This window comes from Homo sapiens, chromosome 15 (genome assembly GCF_000001405.40).
Source record: "Homo sapiens chromosome 15, GRCh38.p14 Primary Assembly".
Classification (NCBI taxonomy): Eukaryota; Metazoa; Chordata; class Mammalia; order Primates; family Hominidae; genus Homo; species Homo sapiens.
In genome coordinates this window covers 67,822,188-67,839,653 of record NC_000015.10, presented here as the reverse complement: position 1 = coordinate 67,839,653, position 17,466 = coordinate 67,822,188, and the positions used below count along the sequence as shown (strand labels likewise).

The 17,466-nt window shown below is 58.1% G+C and overlaps 2 protein-coding genes and 2 long non-coding RNA genes across 4 annotated transcripts, besides 5 other annotated features; 2 read left to right on the top strand and 2 right to left on the bottom strand.

Annotated features, from left to right (window-relative positions):
* The first annotated feature begins 774 nt into the window (after positions 1–774).
* On the top strand, positions 775–5,346 carry SKOR1-AS1 (SKOR1 antisense RNA 1). Its single transcript, NR_120345.1, has 3 exons — positions 775–944; positions 2,221–2,564; positions 3,873–5,346. It is a non-coding gene; the product is annotated as an SKOR1 antisense RNA 1 (long non-coding RNA).
* Positions 2,295–2,825: an enhancer, noted in NCBI's record as "NANOG hESC enhancer chr15:68129167-68129697 (GRCh37/hg19 assembly coordinates)". NCBI's record gives its function as "activates a minimal SCP1, AML or CMV promoter by ChIP-STARR-seq in naive H9 embryonic stem cells {active_cell/tissue: H9 hESC(naive)}" and the evidence as "EXISTENCE:reporter gene assay evidence [ECO:0000049][PMID:30033119]".
* Positions 5,072–14,145, bottom strand: SKOR1 (SKI family transcriptional corepressor 1). The gene is made up of 9 exons (NM_001365915.1): positions 13,945–14,145; positions 11,510–13,718; positions 10,385–10,475; positions 9,356–9,463; positions 8,765–8,836; positions 7,306–7,380; positions 6,973–7,047; positions 6,397–6,462; positions 5,072–5,912 (listed from the first exon to the last, which is right to left on the bottom strand). The coding sequence occupies exons 1-9, from the start codon at positions 14,049–14,051 to the stop codon at positions 5,818–5,820; spliced, it is 2,898 nt and encodes a 965-aa protein (NP_001352844.1). The 5' UTR covers positions 14,052–14,145; the 3' UTR covers positions 5,072–5,817.
* Positions 5,323–6,159: an enhancer, noted in NCBI's record as "H3K4me1 hESC enhancer chr15:68125833-68126669 (GRCh37/hg19 assembly coordinates)". NCBI's record gives its function as "activates a minimal SCP1, AML or CMV promoter by ChIP-STARR-seq in naive H9 embryonic stem cells {active_cell/tissue: H9 hESC(naive)}" and the evidence as "EXISTENCE:reporter gene assay evidence [ECO:0000049][PMID:30033119]".
* Positions 5,597–5,746: a silencer, noted in NCBI's record as "silent region_6582". NCBI's record gives its function as "represses an Ori minimal core promoter by ATAC-STARR-seq in GM12878 lymphoblastoid cells {active_cell/tissue: GM12878}" and the evidence as "EXISTENCE:reporter gene assay evidence [ECO:0000049][PMID:35858748]".
* Positions 7,057–9,456, top strand: LOC105370870 (uncharacterized). Its single transcript, XR_932395.3, has 4 exons — positions 7,057–7,238; positions 7,851–7,914; positions 8,775–8,820; positions 9,374–9,456. It is a non-coding gene; the product is annotated as an uncharacterized LOC105370870 (long non-coding RNA).
* Positions 11,601–12,238: an enhancer, noted in NCBI's record as "H3K27ac-H3K4me1 hESC enhancer chr15:68119754-68120391 (GRCh37/hg19 assembly coordinates)". NCBI's record gives its function as "activates a minimal SCP1, AML or CMV promoter by ChIP-STARR-seq in naive H9 embryonic stem cells {active_cell/tissue: H9 hESC(naive)}" and the evidence as "EXISTENCE:reporter gene assay evidence [ECO:0000049][PMID:30033119]".
* Positions 12,239–12,877: an enhancer, noted in NCBI's record as "H3K27ac-H3K4me1 hESC enhancer chr15:68119115-68119753 (GRCh37/hg19 assembly coordinates)". NCBI's record gives its function as "activates a minimal SCP1, AML or CMV promoter by ChIP-STARR-seq in naive H9 embryonic stem cells {active_cell/tissue: H9 hESC(naive)}" and the evidence as "EXISTENCE:reporter gene assay evidence [ECO:0000049][PMID:30033119]".
* Positions 14,070–16,277, bottom strand: LOC124903570 (uncharacterized). The gene is made up of 4 exons (XM_047433429.1): positions 16,215–16,277; positions 15,611–15,695; positions 14,252–15,015; positions 14,070–14,141 (listed from the first exon to the last, which is right to left on the bottom strand). Exons 1-4 carry the CDS (start codon positions 16,275–16,277, stop codon positions 14,070–14,072), a joined length of 984 nt encoding a protein of 327 aa, XP_047289385.1.
* Between the last annotated feature and the right edge of the window lie 1,189 nt (positions 16,278–17,466).

Sequence of the window (17,466 nt, the reverse complement as noted above, 5' to 3'; positions counted from 1 at the left end):
CAGTACCTTACACTTAAGGAAATTTCGTCTTGCCAAAGTTGATCCATTTCAGCTCCGAAACATAACAGGAACTAGTGCAACGATAAACGTATGAGGAACTTGCAATAAGAGTGACAGAATCCTTTGAATCAAAAAAAAAAAAAAAGCCACCACTTAATGAGTATCTACCATATGTCAAGGGCTTCACCAATATTTCATTGAAATATTCCAGACCAAATAAATAAATAATAAAAGAAAAAAAGAAAAGGGGGAGGGGGCAGAAAAATAAAATAATGTTTAAAAAATTCCTGACAGCCCCACCCTGTGGGTTTTACTGTTTTACTGTCATCATTTTACACCAATCACTGAGAGGTAAAGCCTGATAAGACTTACAGAGGCACAGACCCTGAAAAGATCGGGACCCAGGTCTCAGGTAATTGAGTTACAAAAACACAGTCCCGAGTGGTAAGACAAAGAGGAAACAAAGTCCAACCACGTTCAGATTTCCTGCGATGACTTAGGCAATGTTTTCTGAAATATCTTTCCAACAGAAAAATGGTGCAACTGCTTTGCTAGTGCTTCAGCATGCACGTGGGCCCTGCGGCCACTGGGACCTCAGTCGATCTGCCGGGAGCGGCCGCACAGCTCCCAGCCTCCAGGCGCGCCGCAGGAGGACTGTTAGGCTCGAAGCCCCGGAGCCACCCAGGGACAGCGGCGGGTACTCTACCAGCGGGCGCTGGGAGCTGCCGGGCAGCATTCCATTCAGGACTCATTCCTTTTCTCTTCAGTGGAAGTGAAATGATCCTTTCCAGGTAACAGCCGAGCATAGGGGACTGCGGGACATCTCCGCCTCTTCCTTGGCTCTGGGCCTTCGATGTAAGGCGTTAGAGGACAATCTTTGTTGGCTGGATTTCTGTTCTTCCCCTAGAGATATCTGGTTCTTTGGAGGCCACTTGGGCAATTGGGTGAGTAGTTTTAAATGTCTCCCTTGGGATGCCAAATAAGAAAACGACCAATGTCGATGTGGCTCCCTCTCTTTCAGCACAGACAACCCATCAGACTGGAATATTATTAGTCTACGTATGTGGAAGGGGGTGTTATGGGGAGTAAAATAGAATCCAAGAGTGAAGGACTTGGCCCAAAAAGGACTGTTGAGATTGTTCTAAAGAAACTGGTCGGGCGCAGTGGCTCACGCCTGTAATCCTAGTACTTTGGGAGGCTGAGCTGGGAGGATACCGAGGTCAGGGGTTCGAGACCAGTCTGGCCAACAAGGTGAAGCCCTGTCGCTACTTAAAAGAAAAGAAAAGATTAGAACAGAAATTAGGAAAAAGACAGGCAGTTCCTAGCCCCAGAAAATCCAGAGACCTGGCTGACTTCCTTTCCTCTGCACTAACCTGCTGAGGGAACTTGGGCAAGTCTTCGCCTCTTTGGACACATAGAGTCAATGCATTGGCGTTGCAGGATGCCCTTCCAACCTCTGTGCTTCTAGATTCTTATGAATGTGTCTCCAGAAACTCAATAGTCCATGCATTGGCGTTGCAGGATGCCCTTCCAACCTCTGTGCTTGTAGATTCTTATGAATGTGTCTTCAGAAAGCTCAATAGTCCAGGCTTGAAAAAGCACCGGTTTGTCCTCCTTTCTGGGCCCCCTTTCTGGGCCCCTGGAGGAGAGGAGGGTGATGGACTGGGGTACATTTTGGGACTCTAAAAGCATTCCTGGCTTGAGTCTCAGGAAAGTGAATTCAGAGGGAGTTGTAATCTTTGCAAACACCAATACAATAGCACTTCTTGTATGCCAGGAGCTGTTCTCAGTGCTTTACATATATTAACAGAAAACAGTTCTATGAAGTAGGTACTGTTAATCTCCCTATGTTATAGATGAGGAAGCTAAGGCACAGAGAGATTCAACAACTTGCCCAATGTCACTCATCAATGACAGGGCAGCATTGAGACCTCAGTAAATCTGGCTCCAGAGTTTGTGCTCTTAGCCAAGCATCTGAGGATGGAGAGAGGAGATGAGGCTGTTTAGAATTCATGGGAAGAGCATGCAGATCCAGTTCTGCTTTTGTTGGTGTTCTGAATTCAAGGCAGGAGTCACATGTTTGCAACGGATCAAGGCTTTAGAGCAGGGTAGCTACGAATGGGTGGACCTGTGTGCCAGTGACCTGGAAAAGTATGACGGAGTGAAGGAATACCCCCTTTAGGACACAGTTGGAACAGGAACAAAGTTTTCCTTTTCTAGGTTAACAATCACTTACCTGATACCTGCTCCCAAAACGAATCCTATTGATGAAGGATCTTCTTTCTGAGCAGTAAACCTGTGTTTAATTAACCTTATGCAAATGAGCTTAATTGCTTATCAGTGGCTGTTGTCCAGAAGCACCTAGGGATTCCTTCCCTCAGACATTTTCAGCACCTAGATGAACCGCAAAGTTGGAAGCCTTTCATCTACACATGTGTTGTGTGCCTGTGGAGCCCTGGGCCCTGTGTTGAAGATTGCAAGGAAAAGCAAGGTGTGACCCCTGCTGTGGACTTACTTTCAGTCTTAGGGCAACAGACACTTACAACCAAGAATAACAAAGGGAGGTGAGTGCCCTGCTAGCCTCATGAACCGAGTGCCACTAGAACACAGAGTCACCTGTGCTCCAGGAGTTAAGGGGTCTTCTAAGTGGTGCTTTTGCACACAGGTTACCCTGATTTGCAGAGGAAATGGAGATGGGAAGGGACTTACTGCTTTCTCCCGTGGGGGTGAAAAATAAACCCACTTGATGCTGTCTCCAACGGCGGCTCCAACTTTGCTCAGTCTCTCACTCTGGATTTGCCAGAACAGGTGGGGATAGAGATCATCTTCCCACTGCGGATCCCAAGAGGGGCCCCGGCTTCCGTTCACTCTTGTCCCTTACCCCAGACCTGGGACTCCAGAGCCAGACCTCCTGTAGGCACCGCTGGGGACCAGGCCAAACCAAACACTCCAGGAGAACAGCCCACAGGATATTCTGTGTTCAACTGCCTCCTCCAACTTCCAGGCCCCACTTTTTCTCCCTGGGACCCCAGGCACCCTGGTCTGGGCCTTCGGGCGTTGGCTGTAATGCTTAAAATCTGTCGCAAGGTGGCAACATTGTGGCGAGAAATAGACTTTTTTTAAATCCTGGGTTTTTTTTTTCAAAGCATATTTTCCCTATTAATGTTTCATTTAACTTAATTAGAATCTGGTAAACTAATTAAAGTAGCTACGAGCCCCGCAATCAGCAATAATTAGTATAATTATTGATAATTACATCCATACCAATCGTTTGGTTATTAACATTTTTGGGGGGAACAAACCACTTCTGAAGGGACGCGAAGCCCGGGAGGGTTTTTGCGACTGAGCTTTCTGGGTCGGATCCGCCTACGACTCCAGTCCGCAGAGATTCCTGCCCAGATGGGGCGTCCCTTCCGGAGGGCCCCAGCTGCCTAGGAGCTTTTCCACTTTGGGGGGAGTTGGGAAGGAAGGGTGGGAAGGAGCATTTGCCTGGCTCCTCTGTCGAGCCGCAGCCACGGAACTTCCTGCCTGGGTGGTAATGGTGATGCCCATTTTACAGAGAAGAAAAGTGCAGCTTCCAAAGGTGCAATCCGCGGTGGGGAAAGGGGCCGGCAAACTCCCACACCCGCGCTGTCCCGCCCCGTCGCAGTTCCGCGGGCCCTGGCGCGGCCTGGAGACTCCAGTCTCTTCCTCTCTGGACCTCAGTTTCGCCACCGGTCCAGCGGAAAGCGGATCTGGTGGGTCCCATGCATATGAAACGTTCCCGCTCCCTAGAGGGGCCCTGCCCGGAGATGGCCTGTCCGGAGGCGATGCTTCGCCATTTGCCGGCGCCCTCTTCATTGTTATCTCCTTTGTGTCCGCTCTGGTCTTAGCCGTCGGAACATCCTGGGACTCCAAGGCTCCGACCCCCAGCGCAAAGGACTCTAGGGACTGGCTTCCTGGCTGTACCGCGCAGCGGGACTCCTCGTCTGCACAGCTTCGGGGAGGCCCAGAGCACGCCCCTACTAGCCGGCTCCGTCCAAGGCCCACCAAGACAACCCGCCACGAAACTTCCCGGCCCCCTCAGCCCAGGGCTCCCGGTCCCGAGCTGCTGGCCGGTGGCGCGGGGCCTGCCGCCCGCCTTCTACGAGCCGCATGGACGGAGGCCTGCGTGTTATTTCATAGAGGCCGAAACGGAGACCCAGGAAAGATAAAAGAAGGGCTCAACCCGGGACCCCCACTAGCCAGCCGAGGGCGAGAAATGAAAGCCAAGGCTGAATGATTCCCTGTGCCGTGAGCTCTCTCCCACTCCATCCACACTCTCCTCCCTGCAAAGAGTGTTCTGCAATTTGCAGCGTCGTCTGTAGCCCAAGCAGGAGGTGCGCTGTGGAAACTGAGGCCGCTGGGAGGCCTTGCCAACCGTGACCCGGACGTCGGACGCCCCAGCCGAGGCCCGGCGAGTCCTTAGCCCCTCTCGAACTAAAATGGACCGAACAGAAAATGCGGACGGGGCTCCCTCCTTTCGGGTAGCGGCGGGGCAGACGGGAGGCCGTCTGTGACCGAGCTCTCCAAGTCCCGCCTTCCTTTCCAAGCCTGCCCGGCGGAGACCACCTTACTCCCTGAGACCTCCGCCCTGCCGCAGCGCTCCCAGGCCAGGCCAGGCCGGCGGTGCCCGCGCCATCTAAAGGGACAATTCTGGTTGAACCTGGGATTCCCGGCAGGGCGCCCTGTCTGTGAGCGCCCCGGAGGTAACTTCCCCGGTGTGGCAGGCGTGGAAATGGGCATGGATGAACCCTCGGCGCCTTCGAGCTCTTGAGGAAAGAGCCCGGGACCGCTGCGCTAAGGACCGTGACGTAATGCCCCTCCTCCATTCCGGGCCCAAGGGAGGGTCCTAAACGCGGAGAGGGAGTGCCCTGTGGGGGAAAACTGAGTGTGTCTGGAGGGCACAGTGGAGAGGTTGAGTGCTCGCTGCTGCCCACTTGAGCAGGCCCGATTCTGACCCTGGGAGCCCCAGAACCCGCGGGGCGGCTCCCACCCCCACCTGTTGCACGGTGTTCCGCCGCCCCGCTCCGCCGGTGCACTCCCACCTCCGTAGCCCCAGAAGTGACATCTTTTATTATTATTATTATTATTATTAAAAACGAAAGTCACGGGTACAGGGTGGTCTCCCCAAACAGGCTCCAGGTGGTTGCCATCTCGTGAGTCAGTTGTCGCCCTTTTAAAGTGCTGTTACATCAAGAGGTTACAACAAAAAATAGCCAAAGCAAAATCCAAAGGGGAATGCAAAACGGGACTGGAAGTGGGTCCAGGAGAAGGAAGCAAAAATAACTTACAGCATAAATAAATTAAAGTGAACCTAATACTGAACCGAGAGACTCACAGTACATTTATATCCATTGCACATAGCCACTTTGTCATTAGGAACAGGAGTTTCAGAAGTGGACGGGACGGGGAGTGCGGGGCAGGCGCCAGCGAAGTTGCTACATTGTATTCACAATCGGGTTCAAGGCTATACAATGGGAGGGGGCGCTCTCCCCTCCCGCCCCCCGTCTGTCCAGTTAACCCCTTGAGGTCCGATGCCCTAGAGTTCACACGGGGTAGGGGGATTTGAGGCGCGAGGCGGTATTTACACTTGGAAACCAAGCCGGGGCCCTGGACAGGGACGCCCGGGAGGGGGCGGGCAAGGCCGGGGAGCCCGGGAGGAAGGCGGGCGGACGGGCGGCTGTATTTACATCGGTCGGGTCCGAATGGCTTGTTCCTCGCTCAGGGCCACCGCAGCAGCGGGTATTTACAAGGAGCAGCATGGCTTGAGGGCGCAGGGGTGCGGCCAGGCCGGCCCTAGGGCAACAGCGGTGGCTTGAAGGAGCAGTTGCCAGTGCAGTGGCGGGGCGTCAGCATCTTGCAGGAGAAATGGTGCAGGGCGTCGTGGGCTTCTGGGGAGACAGTCGCGAGGGTCACTCTGGGCGCCTCTCCAGGCTCACCTCACCGCGCAGTCCACCCTTTCCCCTCCCCGGCCTTACCAACCCTTTGGGGTCAGGGAATCTCAACCGAGCGGATCAGGAGGAGGCAGGAGGGTAGGACAAAAGCTGGTGATTCAGAACCACTGCTCTGGTTCAGTAGCCCCATTTTACAGAAAAGGAAACTGAGGCACAGTAAGAGAGGAGTCAACCTGCTCAAAGCCAGAATTGGTAATAGAAGGCAGATTTTTCTGACGTCCAAAGCCCAAGGGGCTCTTTCTTTTTACCCCCACCATCCTAGAATAATCTTCCCGTTAAAATCAGTTCCCACTTTTCTCCCTCACAGATCCTGATCCACGTGGATCGTGGCCTTCCTCACTAGTCCCACTATTCATTCATTCAGTCGACAGCACGGCCGGCACCCAGCACCCCTCCTATCTTTGTTTCCCGGCTTCCGCACCTTTCAATTTCTGCTGGATGGCATAGCGCGCCTTCCGCTCCTGGTCGAGTTCGTTACACAGGGTATCTGGAAGACAAGGGGAGGGGCCAGTGAGGAAACGCAGACCACCCTCCGAAAGGCCGGGGTCACAGCCCGGGCTTCCTCCTCTCCCCAGGGCTAAGCTCCGCGCAGAAACAACTCCAGGGATGGGGGAGGGGGTACCGGAGCTCCTAACTGCAGACTGGCGGAGGAAGGAAATGGCCTGGGATGGCGCTTAAAGGCAGATGGATCTAACCAAAATTAAAGCAAACTTAGGCATTACTTCCCAGGTAATTTTACGCCTCGATTTTTAATTTAGAAACCATGGAAATTGCCGCGATAAGAAGTTCAATCACTCCATGTAATGATGCCTGCAAGCCGTTTGCTGGGCTCGCTTGCCATTCTGAGGCTAATCAGAGTATACAAAGCATATTAAATAAAAAAATAATTGTTAAATTACCTTCAATTTAAATCCAAATGACTGAGCCAACATTGCGGCTCCTGCCAGACGAGAGGCAGTTACGGCCCGTGCACGAGCTCACCTGACTCCCGTCTTACCTCTGACAATTTGCAGCTGTTGCACCATTTCTTCTCGATAAGCCAATTCCCTCTTCATTTGATCCTGAAAATTATCTGTGCAAATTGATTAAGTGAGAGCTGTTACGCACAGCCCCCTCTCCCGGCTCCACTTTCTCACTCCTGGCCCCCCCTTTCACCCCTACCCCCAACTCCCACCCAGCCATTCGCCTGCAGCCCTGGAAAAGGACAGTTTCTTGTCTCCTGCAGGGCACCTAGTACCAGTTGCCTGGCACCCGGCTTTCGGAGTAGGTCGGGGCACCCTGGTGGAAGGCTCGGTGATGAGGTGGGGTGAGGCAGGATGGCAGTGGGTACCTTTGAGACTCTGAAATTCCCGTTCCAGCTTCTTGCGGAGCTCCATTTGTTCCAGGAGCAGTTTTTGCAATTCCTCTGTGAAAGGGGAAAAGTGGGAGGTAAAGTGGGAGGTAAAGCAGGGTTATTTGGAGCTCAGGTTCTGCCTTGGCCAACAACCCTGAAAGGAGAGTTGAGAAGGATGACCAGTAGGTGGAGGCCCTCCGCTCTCTGGCTTTACCAACTGCATTCAAAGGATTTGGGTGAAGAAACTGGGCTGTGGGTAGGATGCCCAGGAGAATAAATTCAGGACGGTGGAATCTAGGCCCTGGCTCCAGGAACTATGCAGCTGGGCAACTGCTTTAAGTTGTTCCTCACTCCCTAACCTAAGAGGCTGGCCCACGGAAACTTGATTTCCCACTTCAAGTGACAGACCCCGCCCCCGCCCCGGCCCCGACCTCCCCCCCCCGCACCGCCGCCCTTTCAATATAAATCAGGGAGGCTTTGGTCAGAGCCTTGGACACCTTTCCCAGAAAAATACACATACAACAGTTTGCCTGCAATTTCAGGAGGTCTGAAGACTGCCAAATCCATGCTAAGAACCCTCACTATAAAGCACCAGTGATTTTGAAGGTAATGGCATTTTCTGTAAATCTGTAACTAGGAAGAATGGAAGACCACCAATGCTTGTCTTCCTCCTGCCACAAATTCCCAAGACCATCTATGGGCTAGTTGAGGGGCAGGGAGCTAGGTGTAGAGGCCTCTGTTAGTGCCCTCAGAACCAACTCCAGAGGGATAGATGTGGCAACTGCCCTGACCATGAGGTCATTGGTATCTGGGCCCTCCTCCAGGAGAGGCTCCTCTGAAATGCAAGAATGGAAGGTAGAAGGGCAAAGTGGGGCTAGGGACTCCCCTACTCTGCACCCCAAGCCATAGTCTCCTCCTTACAGGCTGAGCAGTAACACAGGGATCCCCATTCTGCAAACAAGCTCCATCCACACTCCATTTAGGGTAAGGTGGAGGTGGTTATACCTCAATGCCAGGAGAAAGGAAAACACCTCTCACATTCCTAAAATAAATGCTTTCCTGCAATCCTGCATTGAAATCCTGTTTTCCATTGAATTCAGCGGACCCAGACTGTCCTGTCTGATTGTCCACAGGCATCAAAAATTCTGATCATTGTTACTCATTTCTCTTTCTGGCAAGGCTATTCAGACAGACCCGGGCCTTGGGAACCCAAACTTCCAATAAACTTCTGGGGGTTTGTTTTACTCCCATGCTCTACCCACACATACATACCTCTGTGCCAGGGTAATGTGTCCAGAGGATCTTACTTTCCACCCAAAGAAAGGAAAACTCATGCCCCCAAGGCCTTGGTGAGTGTCTTTTCCACACTCACCCCCTACAGGGATAACACCCCTCTACAGGAATGACCCATCACTCTCAAGCACAGCGTACACCTTTTTCACAAATTTATCCTCACCTCTGGCCAGGTTCTCGATATCTTTCTCCACCAAATGAGTTCCTGTGACATCCAAGGTAAGCCCATCTTCGCCTGGGATACAGGGGCAGGTAAGAGGGGTTCTGTCCTAGGAAAGCCCTTGAGAGGGGAGGGGTGAGCTTCCCAGGAACCACATCGAATCAGGGACCTACCCTAGACCTTCTGCCTTTAGAGGAGACAGTTACAGGAATCCAGTACTATCCACCTTCTAGGACATTACAGTAGAGAGTAGGAGAGTGACCCCTGGAGGAGACGGCCCAGGGAAGATGGGCCATCTAAGGGCAGGAAATGCCCTTTGACCTATTTTATGTGGGTGAGGACGTCCCTCCATTTCCTTTTAGTACATCCTCTGCCCTTACCTGAAAGAACCTCAAACCCACCAAGGAGGCAGCAATTCAGAAAACCTGGCCTGCACCCTGCTCGCGTTAAATATTTATCTGCTCGCCGAGGAAGAAGACTGGCAGCCGCTTACACTTGATTAAAAGCCTTTCTCGCAAGCCTCTGGGAACCTGGGCGACCTGGGTCCCAGCTCCTGGGTGCGGTGGAGAGCGATGGGTTCAAGGGCTGGCTCACCTCTGTCTGTATTTGCAGGACTTGGCTGGGAGATACTCCTTTGGTCTGGATAGGATTTCCTCGTTTCCAAATCATCGGCGGGCGAGTGATTGTCTTCCTTATCTGGCTCTTGAAGGCAACAAACCGAATTTCAAGAGAGGCAAAGAAACCGTGACCCGGATACTGCCGGAGCTGCCGCGGTCGGGGCGCCCCAGCCCTAATTAAAAGCGTCGTGGCCGCCTCTGGTTCCCGGCTGTGCGCCCAGGAGCGCGCCCTGAGGCTTTGGGCCGGGCACCCCCCACCCCCGCGCCTGGTCTGCTCATCTCCGGGCTTCAGGCCCCCGCCCCAGCCCCTTGGAAAAGAGCTAGGCGAGCAGCCGAGCCCACCAGGGACGAGCGACCTACATCGCGCGCAGATACTGGGGCACCGCGAGCGCGCGTGGCCGCCGGGTCTGTCCGCCCGACTCCTGCTGAGAACGCGGCCCAGGCTGCGACCTTCGGGGTGGGTGGGGGGACATCGTCCGGGGTTCGGCTGCCTCGACCTGCCCGATTTTCCGCTGCCCCCAACCCCTCCTCTGTGAGGAACCTGGTAAGGCGCGCAAGTGCAGGGCGGCCCCCACCACCCCGCGATGGGCCTCAGCTACCCTGGCGCTTCTGGGGTACCCAAGCGCGCGGCCATGTGCCCCCATCCTCCGCCCCGATCCGGCCTAGCCAAAGGGGACCCCGCGGCCAAACACACTTGCTGAATAAATGAGAGGATTTGAAGGCCGTGTCGGGCGTGATTTTGTTAAGGGTTTAACGCCGTGTCTGGGTGTACTGCAGCATGTGTGTGCGTGTGGTGGAGAGGGCGTTGTCACTGTTGTTTTTAAGTAACTAAAGATTGGAAGTTGTTGGGAGTACTAGCTTAGCTTCCTTGTTTTCATTATTTTTCTTTCCCTCTCCCTCTTTCTCTGCGTCTCTCTCCTTGTCTTCCTTCGCAGGCCTTCCTTGACCCCGGCCCTCTGTCTGCGGTTCCCCCATTACAGTGGCCAGCGGCCGCGACAGGCGTTACCGTGGGCCTCGGGGGTGCAGACGTAGGAGGCCGCGGGCCCCAGCGCCACCGCCGCGCTCTTCACGTGCTCATCCCTCTCGGGCGCGAACACCTGCGACGGCCGAGAAATGACAGGCGATTAGGGTGGCGCCCTGCGGCGGCCCAAAGACGCCCAGCCCTACCCCGCGGCCAAGAGGGAAAGCCGACGGAGTGGCAAAGGTTGGTGCGCCCGCTGGACTTGAGCGGGCACAGTGACGCACGCGGCGCACCCTTGCCCCCTTGTAGATTCAGGGTAATTGTTAGCGCCCTCGGGAAAATTACTCTAAACACAAAGCGGCTCCCAAGCCGAGGGGCGTTCAAAGTGTCCTCCACCCTCTGCACCCGCCTCCTTTTAGGCATTTTCCCTCCCGCCAGTGCCCCGTCCGCGGCATAAATGACGCCTTTCGCATCCGGTTAATGATTCGTGTTTTAATGAACCGAATGTACAGGTATGCGCACTCACTTTCAAAATGGCCAACGACTCCAGCCTGGCTGCATCCTGCCCCTCAAGCCCCGGCCCTGCCAGCTTGAGAGCCCCCCTCCCGCTCCGCACGCGGTCCCGAGACAGCTTCCCAGCAACGAACCCTGTGGTTCCCAAGGCGGGAGTGCGAAGAGACTCGGAAAACTGCGAGTTGGGGTGGTGGGAGATTCCGGGGACCCGGTACTGCTGGGGCCCGACTCAGGGAGAGGCCACACTGTCCTCTCTTCTCCTCTTCCTTGGGGCTCTGATGCCCACCCGGGCGAGCGCTTTTCTCTGGCTCTGGGTTCCTTTCTTACCTCCTCTTTCTTTCTCCACACCCCTTTTCTGTCTCTGTGTCTGGCAGTCTCAGCCGGTCTCCTCCCCATTCCCATCAACAAAAACAAAGCACACAAGTTCCCCAGTCCTCCCGCCGCCCCCAGCTTCCCTTCCCTTCGAAACCCTCACTGGAGGGTGCGGGTGGGCCCAGTTTCGCAGCGCGCCCAAGGCTGGGCCTGCGGAGAGTGGCCGAGGCCTGCTGCTCCCACGCCTGCGCGGAACAAAATTCCCGTTCTCCGCCCGGCCCCGCAGCCCTGCCGCGCACAGGGTAGGTGGGAAGGCGCCACTGGCGGGGCGGGCGCGGGGCTCACCTTGGCCGGCGCGGGGCCTCCTAGGGGCCCGCAAGGCTCTCGCAGCTCGTAGCCGCCGCCGCCGCTTGGCGGGCTCCTCTCAGGTCTCCGCACCAAGTCTTCGGCTGCCAAGTCCCCAAATGCGGGCCGGCCAGCTGGGGGTGGCCCGAGGCGGCGCCGGGGGCGGGGGCTGCCGCCGTCGGGAGAGTTTGCGGGACCGTCCGCGCCAGAGGAGGTGGCGGAAGGGGGTCCAGTGGGCTGTTCACCGTCTGGGCCGCCCCCTGCGCTGGGTGCGCTGGGCTCGGTCTCCTCTTGGGCGTCCTCGTCGTCGGGGAAGCGGTTGGATTCCACGTCCACCTCGGGCTCGTCCGCGGTGTCCACGTCGGGCGAGGCGGAATTGTAGCTGGAGCTGCCCTCGCTCAGAAAGTCCGGGCTCACGTAGCCGCCGCTCCCAGCGCCGGGTCCCGGCCCCCGAGCAGGCCCCGCGCCGTACGCCTCCCGGGCGCTCCCGTAGAGCTTAGCGATGCTCTCGGTGTCCTTGACCACCGGCCGGAAGGCCGACACGTAGGAGCCTTTGCGTGCGGGCGGCGGGGGCGGCGGGGGCAACGGGGCCAGGGGCGGTGGCAGCGCCTCGTCCGTGCCGTCTTCGTCCAGGGGCCCGCGGGACAGAGCGCTCGGGCAGCGCTCCTCCGCGCCGAGGCCACTCTCTTTGGCTGGCTCGGCACCGTCCAGGGGCTCTGGGGCACCGCTGCCAGCAGCTGCCGCTGCCGCCGCCGCTGCCGCCGCCACGGCTGCCGCCACGGCCTTGGCTTGGCTCTGAGCAGCGGGGTAGGACGGTACCGGGAGGCTGCCTGCTGCTGGCCAGAACATGGGAAACGTCGGGTACACAGTGGCGGCGGCGGCCGCTGCAGCCACTGCCGCTGCGTCCTTGGCTGCCCCGGAGGGTTGATGCCCCCAGAACATGGCGCCGCCGCCCGGGCCCGCCCCTGCCCCCGGGGGCAAGTGGCTGGCTCCCGGGCCCCCCGCACCCCCGCCTGTCCCCGCGCCGCCGCCGCCGCTCCCAGTGCCAGGACCGCCCTTTGGCTCGCCCGCGCCTAAAACCGGGTCGTCCTTTTTGGGGCATAGGCCGAAGGCCGTAGGGAAGCCGTAAGGATGGGGGAAAAGTGGTGGGGGCAGCTTTTGCAGGAGCCCAAAGCCTTTGCTGGGCACCGGGATCACCGGGTAGCTTCGTACGCCGGCGCCGCCACCGGGCCCTCCTGGGCCCGCCGGGCCACTAGCTCCAGTCGCCAGGCCAAGTCCGCGCTGCGGGTGGGGTGGAGGTGGCCCCGGAGGCCCGGCAGCCTCATCTTCGCCACAGCGCAGGCTTTTGTGGGGCGGCGGGCCTGGGGCCATCTCTGCACCGCACCCTGGGCCACCGCCGCCACCGCCGCCAGCACCACCCTTCCCCTGCCCACCCGACCCGCCATTGGCACCGCCTCCGCCGCCTCCTTGTAGGGAGAAGGTCCGCTTGCGCGTGCCGCCATTAAACATGGCCTTGACGTCCTCCCAAGCATGGCTCAGTTCGTCTGTGGCCGACTTGTCACTGAGTTTGAGGTGACGACGCCAGGAGTTGAAGTTGGCGGCATCGGGCTGCGTGTACTTGGCGTCGGGTGTTCGGTGCGAGTGGAAGATGAACTTGTTGGGCGAGAAGTACATGCTGCAGTAGCCGCACTTGATGCACTTGGCACGAGAGCTGTTGTAACGCGCAGGGATGAAGCTACCACGCGAGCCCCACGCGCACTCGTGCACCACATCGAAGGCGAAGTTCTCGGGCAGCTTGGGTGGTTTGTGCTCGCCCAGGAACGACTTGCACAGGCGTTCGGCCTCTCGCTTAGTGATCATGCCGCAGCGGCGCGACGAGATGGGCATGGCCCCGGCCCGACGCAGAATCTCCAGCTGTACCGGCGTGCACTGCACGCACGTGATGCCCAGGGCCACGCGGCGGTTGTGGATCTCATTATAGCTGTAGTTCTTGAGGAGGGTGTTGGAGATCTGCGCCAGGCATAGGCGCTCCTGGCCGTCGATGACCAGCGACACAATGGGCACCCCGTACAGCGACGTCTCGCCCACCTGGTTGGGTTTGAGAGCGCTGGAGCCCGAGTACGGCTGCAGCTCCTGCTTGGAGTTGGGCGAGGAACTGCCCTCGCGCCCCGGCCCCAGCTGAGTGGTGAGAGCCTCCATGCCGCCGCTCCTGCGAAATAGAGAAAGCAGAGAGCAGATGAGCCATTTTCAGCGCCGCCGCCGAGGCTCGGGCCCGCCCAGCAGGGCGCTCCGAGTTGGGCGCGCGGGGGATACTTGGCAGTGGGGAGTCCAAACTCATTCACCCCCTGGACAGGCGTCTTTTGTTACTCAGACCCATGTTGGCGCCGTTAACAACAGCCCCCGGGGCTTGGGGGAGGAGAAGGGGTAAAGGAGACCTCAGGAATGCCCGGGCTGCAAGGAACCCAATCCCGTTTTCGGATTGGGAAGGAAGTGAAACCCAGATACGCAGAGTGACTTGCCCAAGGCCACACAGCAAAGCCATTGCCAAATCCTGGCTTTTTCAGCGCCCAGATCCGTGCGCCTTCGGCAACCCTCGCAGCCGGTGCTGCCGGCCCGGGTCCTGAAGCCCGGACTTCGGGGATCGGCCGCCCCTCTGCTCAGTCGCGCATGCACGCGGGCGGGCGGGGGCAGTGCAAGGAGGGGTGGGGAGGGGGGAGGGGCGGTCACTGCCCATCTCCAGACAGCAGGGGGTAGAGGGGGGTGAAGAGAAGGAGGGGGGTGAGGAGAAGGAGGAGGGAACCGTGTCTGCCAGGGAAGGAGAGAGGCGGAGGCTACCGCTGTTCGCGGTGCTGAACCTGACCCTCTCCAAAGCGCTCGGTGCGCACCCGGACCTAGCGCGGCCCCCACCGCACCCAGCTTGGTGCCCGAGCCGGCTTCAGGGGACAACATTGCCAGTTTCCACAAACCCGAGCTTCTCCTCTCACGGCTGGCGCCCGCGTTCGTTGAGCAGAAAGATTTCGGCTGGATATATAAACCGTTTTCTTTCCAGCTATTAGTGAGACCAGGATCCTGCAGTTCTAACCACATTTTCTGCATTTTTAGCTGTATTCCAGACCAAAGCTGGTTTCCACCGAGGTCAACGTGTGGGACAGAGAGGTTCTCAAGGAACTTTGTTGGGATCCACTTCTTAGCTTCCAGTCGCCCACTCCTTGAGCTTTCCTCCTTCAGATATACGTTTCCCACTCGGGCCAACTGCAGGATTCGGGGCTCTGGGCTTCCTCTTTGAGGGGCATCACCTCTCTGAGTATCCTTCATGCCTCGCTGTCCCGGCTCATATGGGCTAGAAGGAATCTCAGCCATCTTCGTAGCCATTGCAAGGCTCCAGGCACACAAGTTGCTGCTGGTCCTTGCACTTTGCTTTCTGGCTGAGGCAGGGAGGGAGCTGTGCAGGCAGACCTCAGCAGCGGGGGTACTTGGGGACTGATGTTTGGGGCCCTCTAGGTCGCCTGACCCAGCCACATGTCCTCAGACAAGCCAGGCTCCCATCCGGCCCAAGGCTGCAGGCGCTCCTGCGGCCAGGGCAGCCCAACCCTGAGGGCTCCTCCCCTGCAGTCGGCCCTGAATGTAACTCCGTTTTCAGAGGGGCAGCTCCAGACAGGGGATCCCAGTTCAAAAGCCTTCAGCAAGGAGACTGGAATCTTCTGTTTATCTGTCTCTCTCCCTTCTTCTCTATTTGTCTAGGAGACCCTCATTTGTCGATCTTATCTGTCCCTGAGCTGTCTCTGCCGGCTCGTTCCTCTTTCTCTCATCTGTTTTGTACCTTCTTCAAGTATCAAGCTATTTATGTATTATCTGTCTGTTTCATCTTTATCTCCGAGGATCGAACTAAAATAAGTTGACCCTTATTTCGCGTTGAAGTCCTTTATATCATTGTAGGAGGCAAAAACACTGTCCTAACTCCCCGGCTGACAAGCCTCGCGCCCTCCTGGAGGTGGCTGGAGGGCGCGCAGCGCTGGGAAATGACAGCTTCTCGGTTTCTCGAAATCGGCAACTATGCCTGGCCCGCATACAGTGAAGACAGCGCCCGAGCCGAGAGCGTACCCCAGTTGAGGGTCCTGGGTCCCTGCGCGGTTTTCCCTGAGTGAGAGGAGGGGGGTCCGGGCCCGGAGTCAGAAGAAGGGGGTCCCTAGGAAAGGAACGGAATTTCGGGGGCCAAAGCGGAAAGCACAGGCGAAGAGCCATATGCAGCGACAAGGAGCAGCAGCCAGAGCAGCTTGAGGAACCCCCGTCGGCTCCCGGAGCTAGATGGACGAGCTTGGGGAGGGCAGCGAAGCGGGAGACTGGCAGTGGTGGGAGCGAGGCGGTGGTGTCTTTAGGTATAATCATAAAAACAACAGCCACAGGAGCCCAAATCAGAACTAAACGAAAAAAAAGCTGCAGGAGCAGAGCGCGGGGGCGGCGGGCTACCGGACGTGGGTACTCACAGTGCGGCGGCGGCTGGAGCCGGGCGAGCGGTGAGCGGAGGTGCGCGGCGGGAGGAGCGGCGGGCGGGAGTCCGGGATCCGCCGGGCTCTCCGGGTGACGGCGCGGCCCCTCCCCGCGCGCGCGCACAGCCGTGCTCCCTGGTTCTCCGCGCTCCCACCCGCGGCCCCTCCCGCTCTCAGCGGGCACGGGGCGCCGGGACCCCGGGCGCGGAGATGCGAACCCTGAGCCGTTGACCCCGAGGCCGGGGACTGGCCGGAAGAAGAGGCCGAAGCCTGGAGCGCATGGCGCGGCGGCGGGGACGGCGCGGTCACAGCCCGAGTGGCGGGGCAGGCGCGCCTGACAGCTGAGAGCCGGGGCGCCACACCCACCGCCCGCGCAGTCGCTAGCGCCCTCCCCGGGTCCGCCCGCCCGCGGGCCACGCGCGGCGCCCGCCGCCTCCCCGCAGCCCAAGGCCTGCACGCCCCAGGTAAGCGGCCGCACACCTGCGTCCAGCACCCTGCACCTGCGTCCCGCTCTAGCTGGAGAGGCCAGGAGGGAGGAAAGGCCCTGGGGCCATAAAGTTTGTCCCCAAGAACGAAGTGGGGAGGGCCCAGTGCTCCCGGCCAAGGAGCCAGTTTTGGTCTGGGCCAAAACCGGGTGATGGGGCTAAGGGGGACTCAAGAGGAACGGGCGCAGGGAGGAGTACTTCACTTTCCGGCCGCAGGCGAGGGCCAGGGTGGTGGAGCCTAGAGTGGCCCTCGGGAACCAGTAGGGTCACCAGAGACCGGGACAGGGACCTGGGTGCAGGGCAGCGAGGATGGCACCCGGGAAGGAGCAGATCTGCCTCTCCCATGCTCCTGACTTCGGTGGGAGGTATCAAGAGAGAGCTCTAACCTGAGGAGGGGCGTTCTCCTGTTTCCGTCCCTGGGCAGGGGACTTGGGAACTAGGTTTGGGGAGCCCTCGGCCTTGAATGCCTCCCTTCGCCATCACCAACAGGCCCAGGGCAGGAGCCAAGTCATCGTTGGGAGTGATCTGAGGTTAACTACGCTCTCAACGCTGCTAAGCCAGTTTCCCCAAGGGGGAGGTCCAGTCCTCTGATGCTACAGACGCCCCTGGGTACCTCCTCTCTCTCCTCAAAGCTCCGTTTCTCTCCATCCCTTTCCTGTCTCAGTCGGTCTCTCCGTCTTCACCATTCTTTCCCCTAACGCCCCACTGGGTCCCCTTCTCTTCCTCTCTCAATCTGTCTCTACTTCTTCGTTTGAGTTACTAGTCGCACCCCGCCCCTCTTAGCCCGCACCCAGGCGCCCCGTTGGCCGCTTCCACCACCTCCCTCCCTGCCCCCCTGGCATTAAGTGTCCTTAATGGACACGTTAATTAAACTGTAATTAATCATACTGTCCGGCCCAAGTTTGAACAATTACCCTAATCAAACAGAAGTTAATAATGGCAGGGATGGCCTGGGGCGCGACGGGCCGCCTGGGCAGGGGGCGCA

Bases quoted from the DNA above. Each gene is read 5' to 3' on its own strand.
- SKOR1 (NM_001365915.1), bottom strand. From the start codon at position 14,051: ATGGCTTTGCTGTGTGGCCTTGGGCAAGTCACTCTGCGTATCTGGGTT. The intron at 7,048-7,305 runs GTACCCACTGCC...CAATTTGCACAG, and splicing joins GGAATTTCAGAGTCTCAAAG to ATAATTTTCAGGATCAAATG. The intron at 6,463-6,972 runs GTAAGACGGGAG...CTTGTCTTCCAG, and splicing joins ACAGCTGCAAATTGTCAGAG to ATACCCTGTGTAACGAACTC.
- LOC124903570 (XM_047433429.1), bottom strand. From the start codon at position 16,277: ATGCGCTCCAGGCTTCGGCCTCTTCTTCCGGCCAGTCCCCGGCCTCGG. The intron at 15,696-16,214 runs GTTCGCATCTCC...TTCCTTTCCTAG, and splicing joins CTCGGGGTCAACGGCTCAGG to GGACCCCCTTCTTCTGACTC. The intron at 15,016-15,610 runs GTACGCTCTCGG...TGGCTGGGTCAG, and splicing joins ACCCAGGACCCTCAACTGGG to GCGACCTAGAGGGCCCCAAA.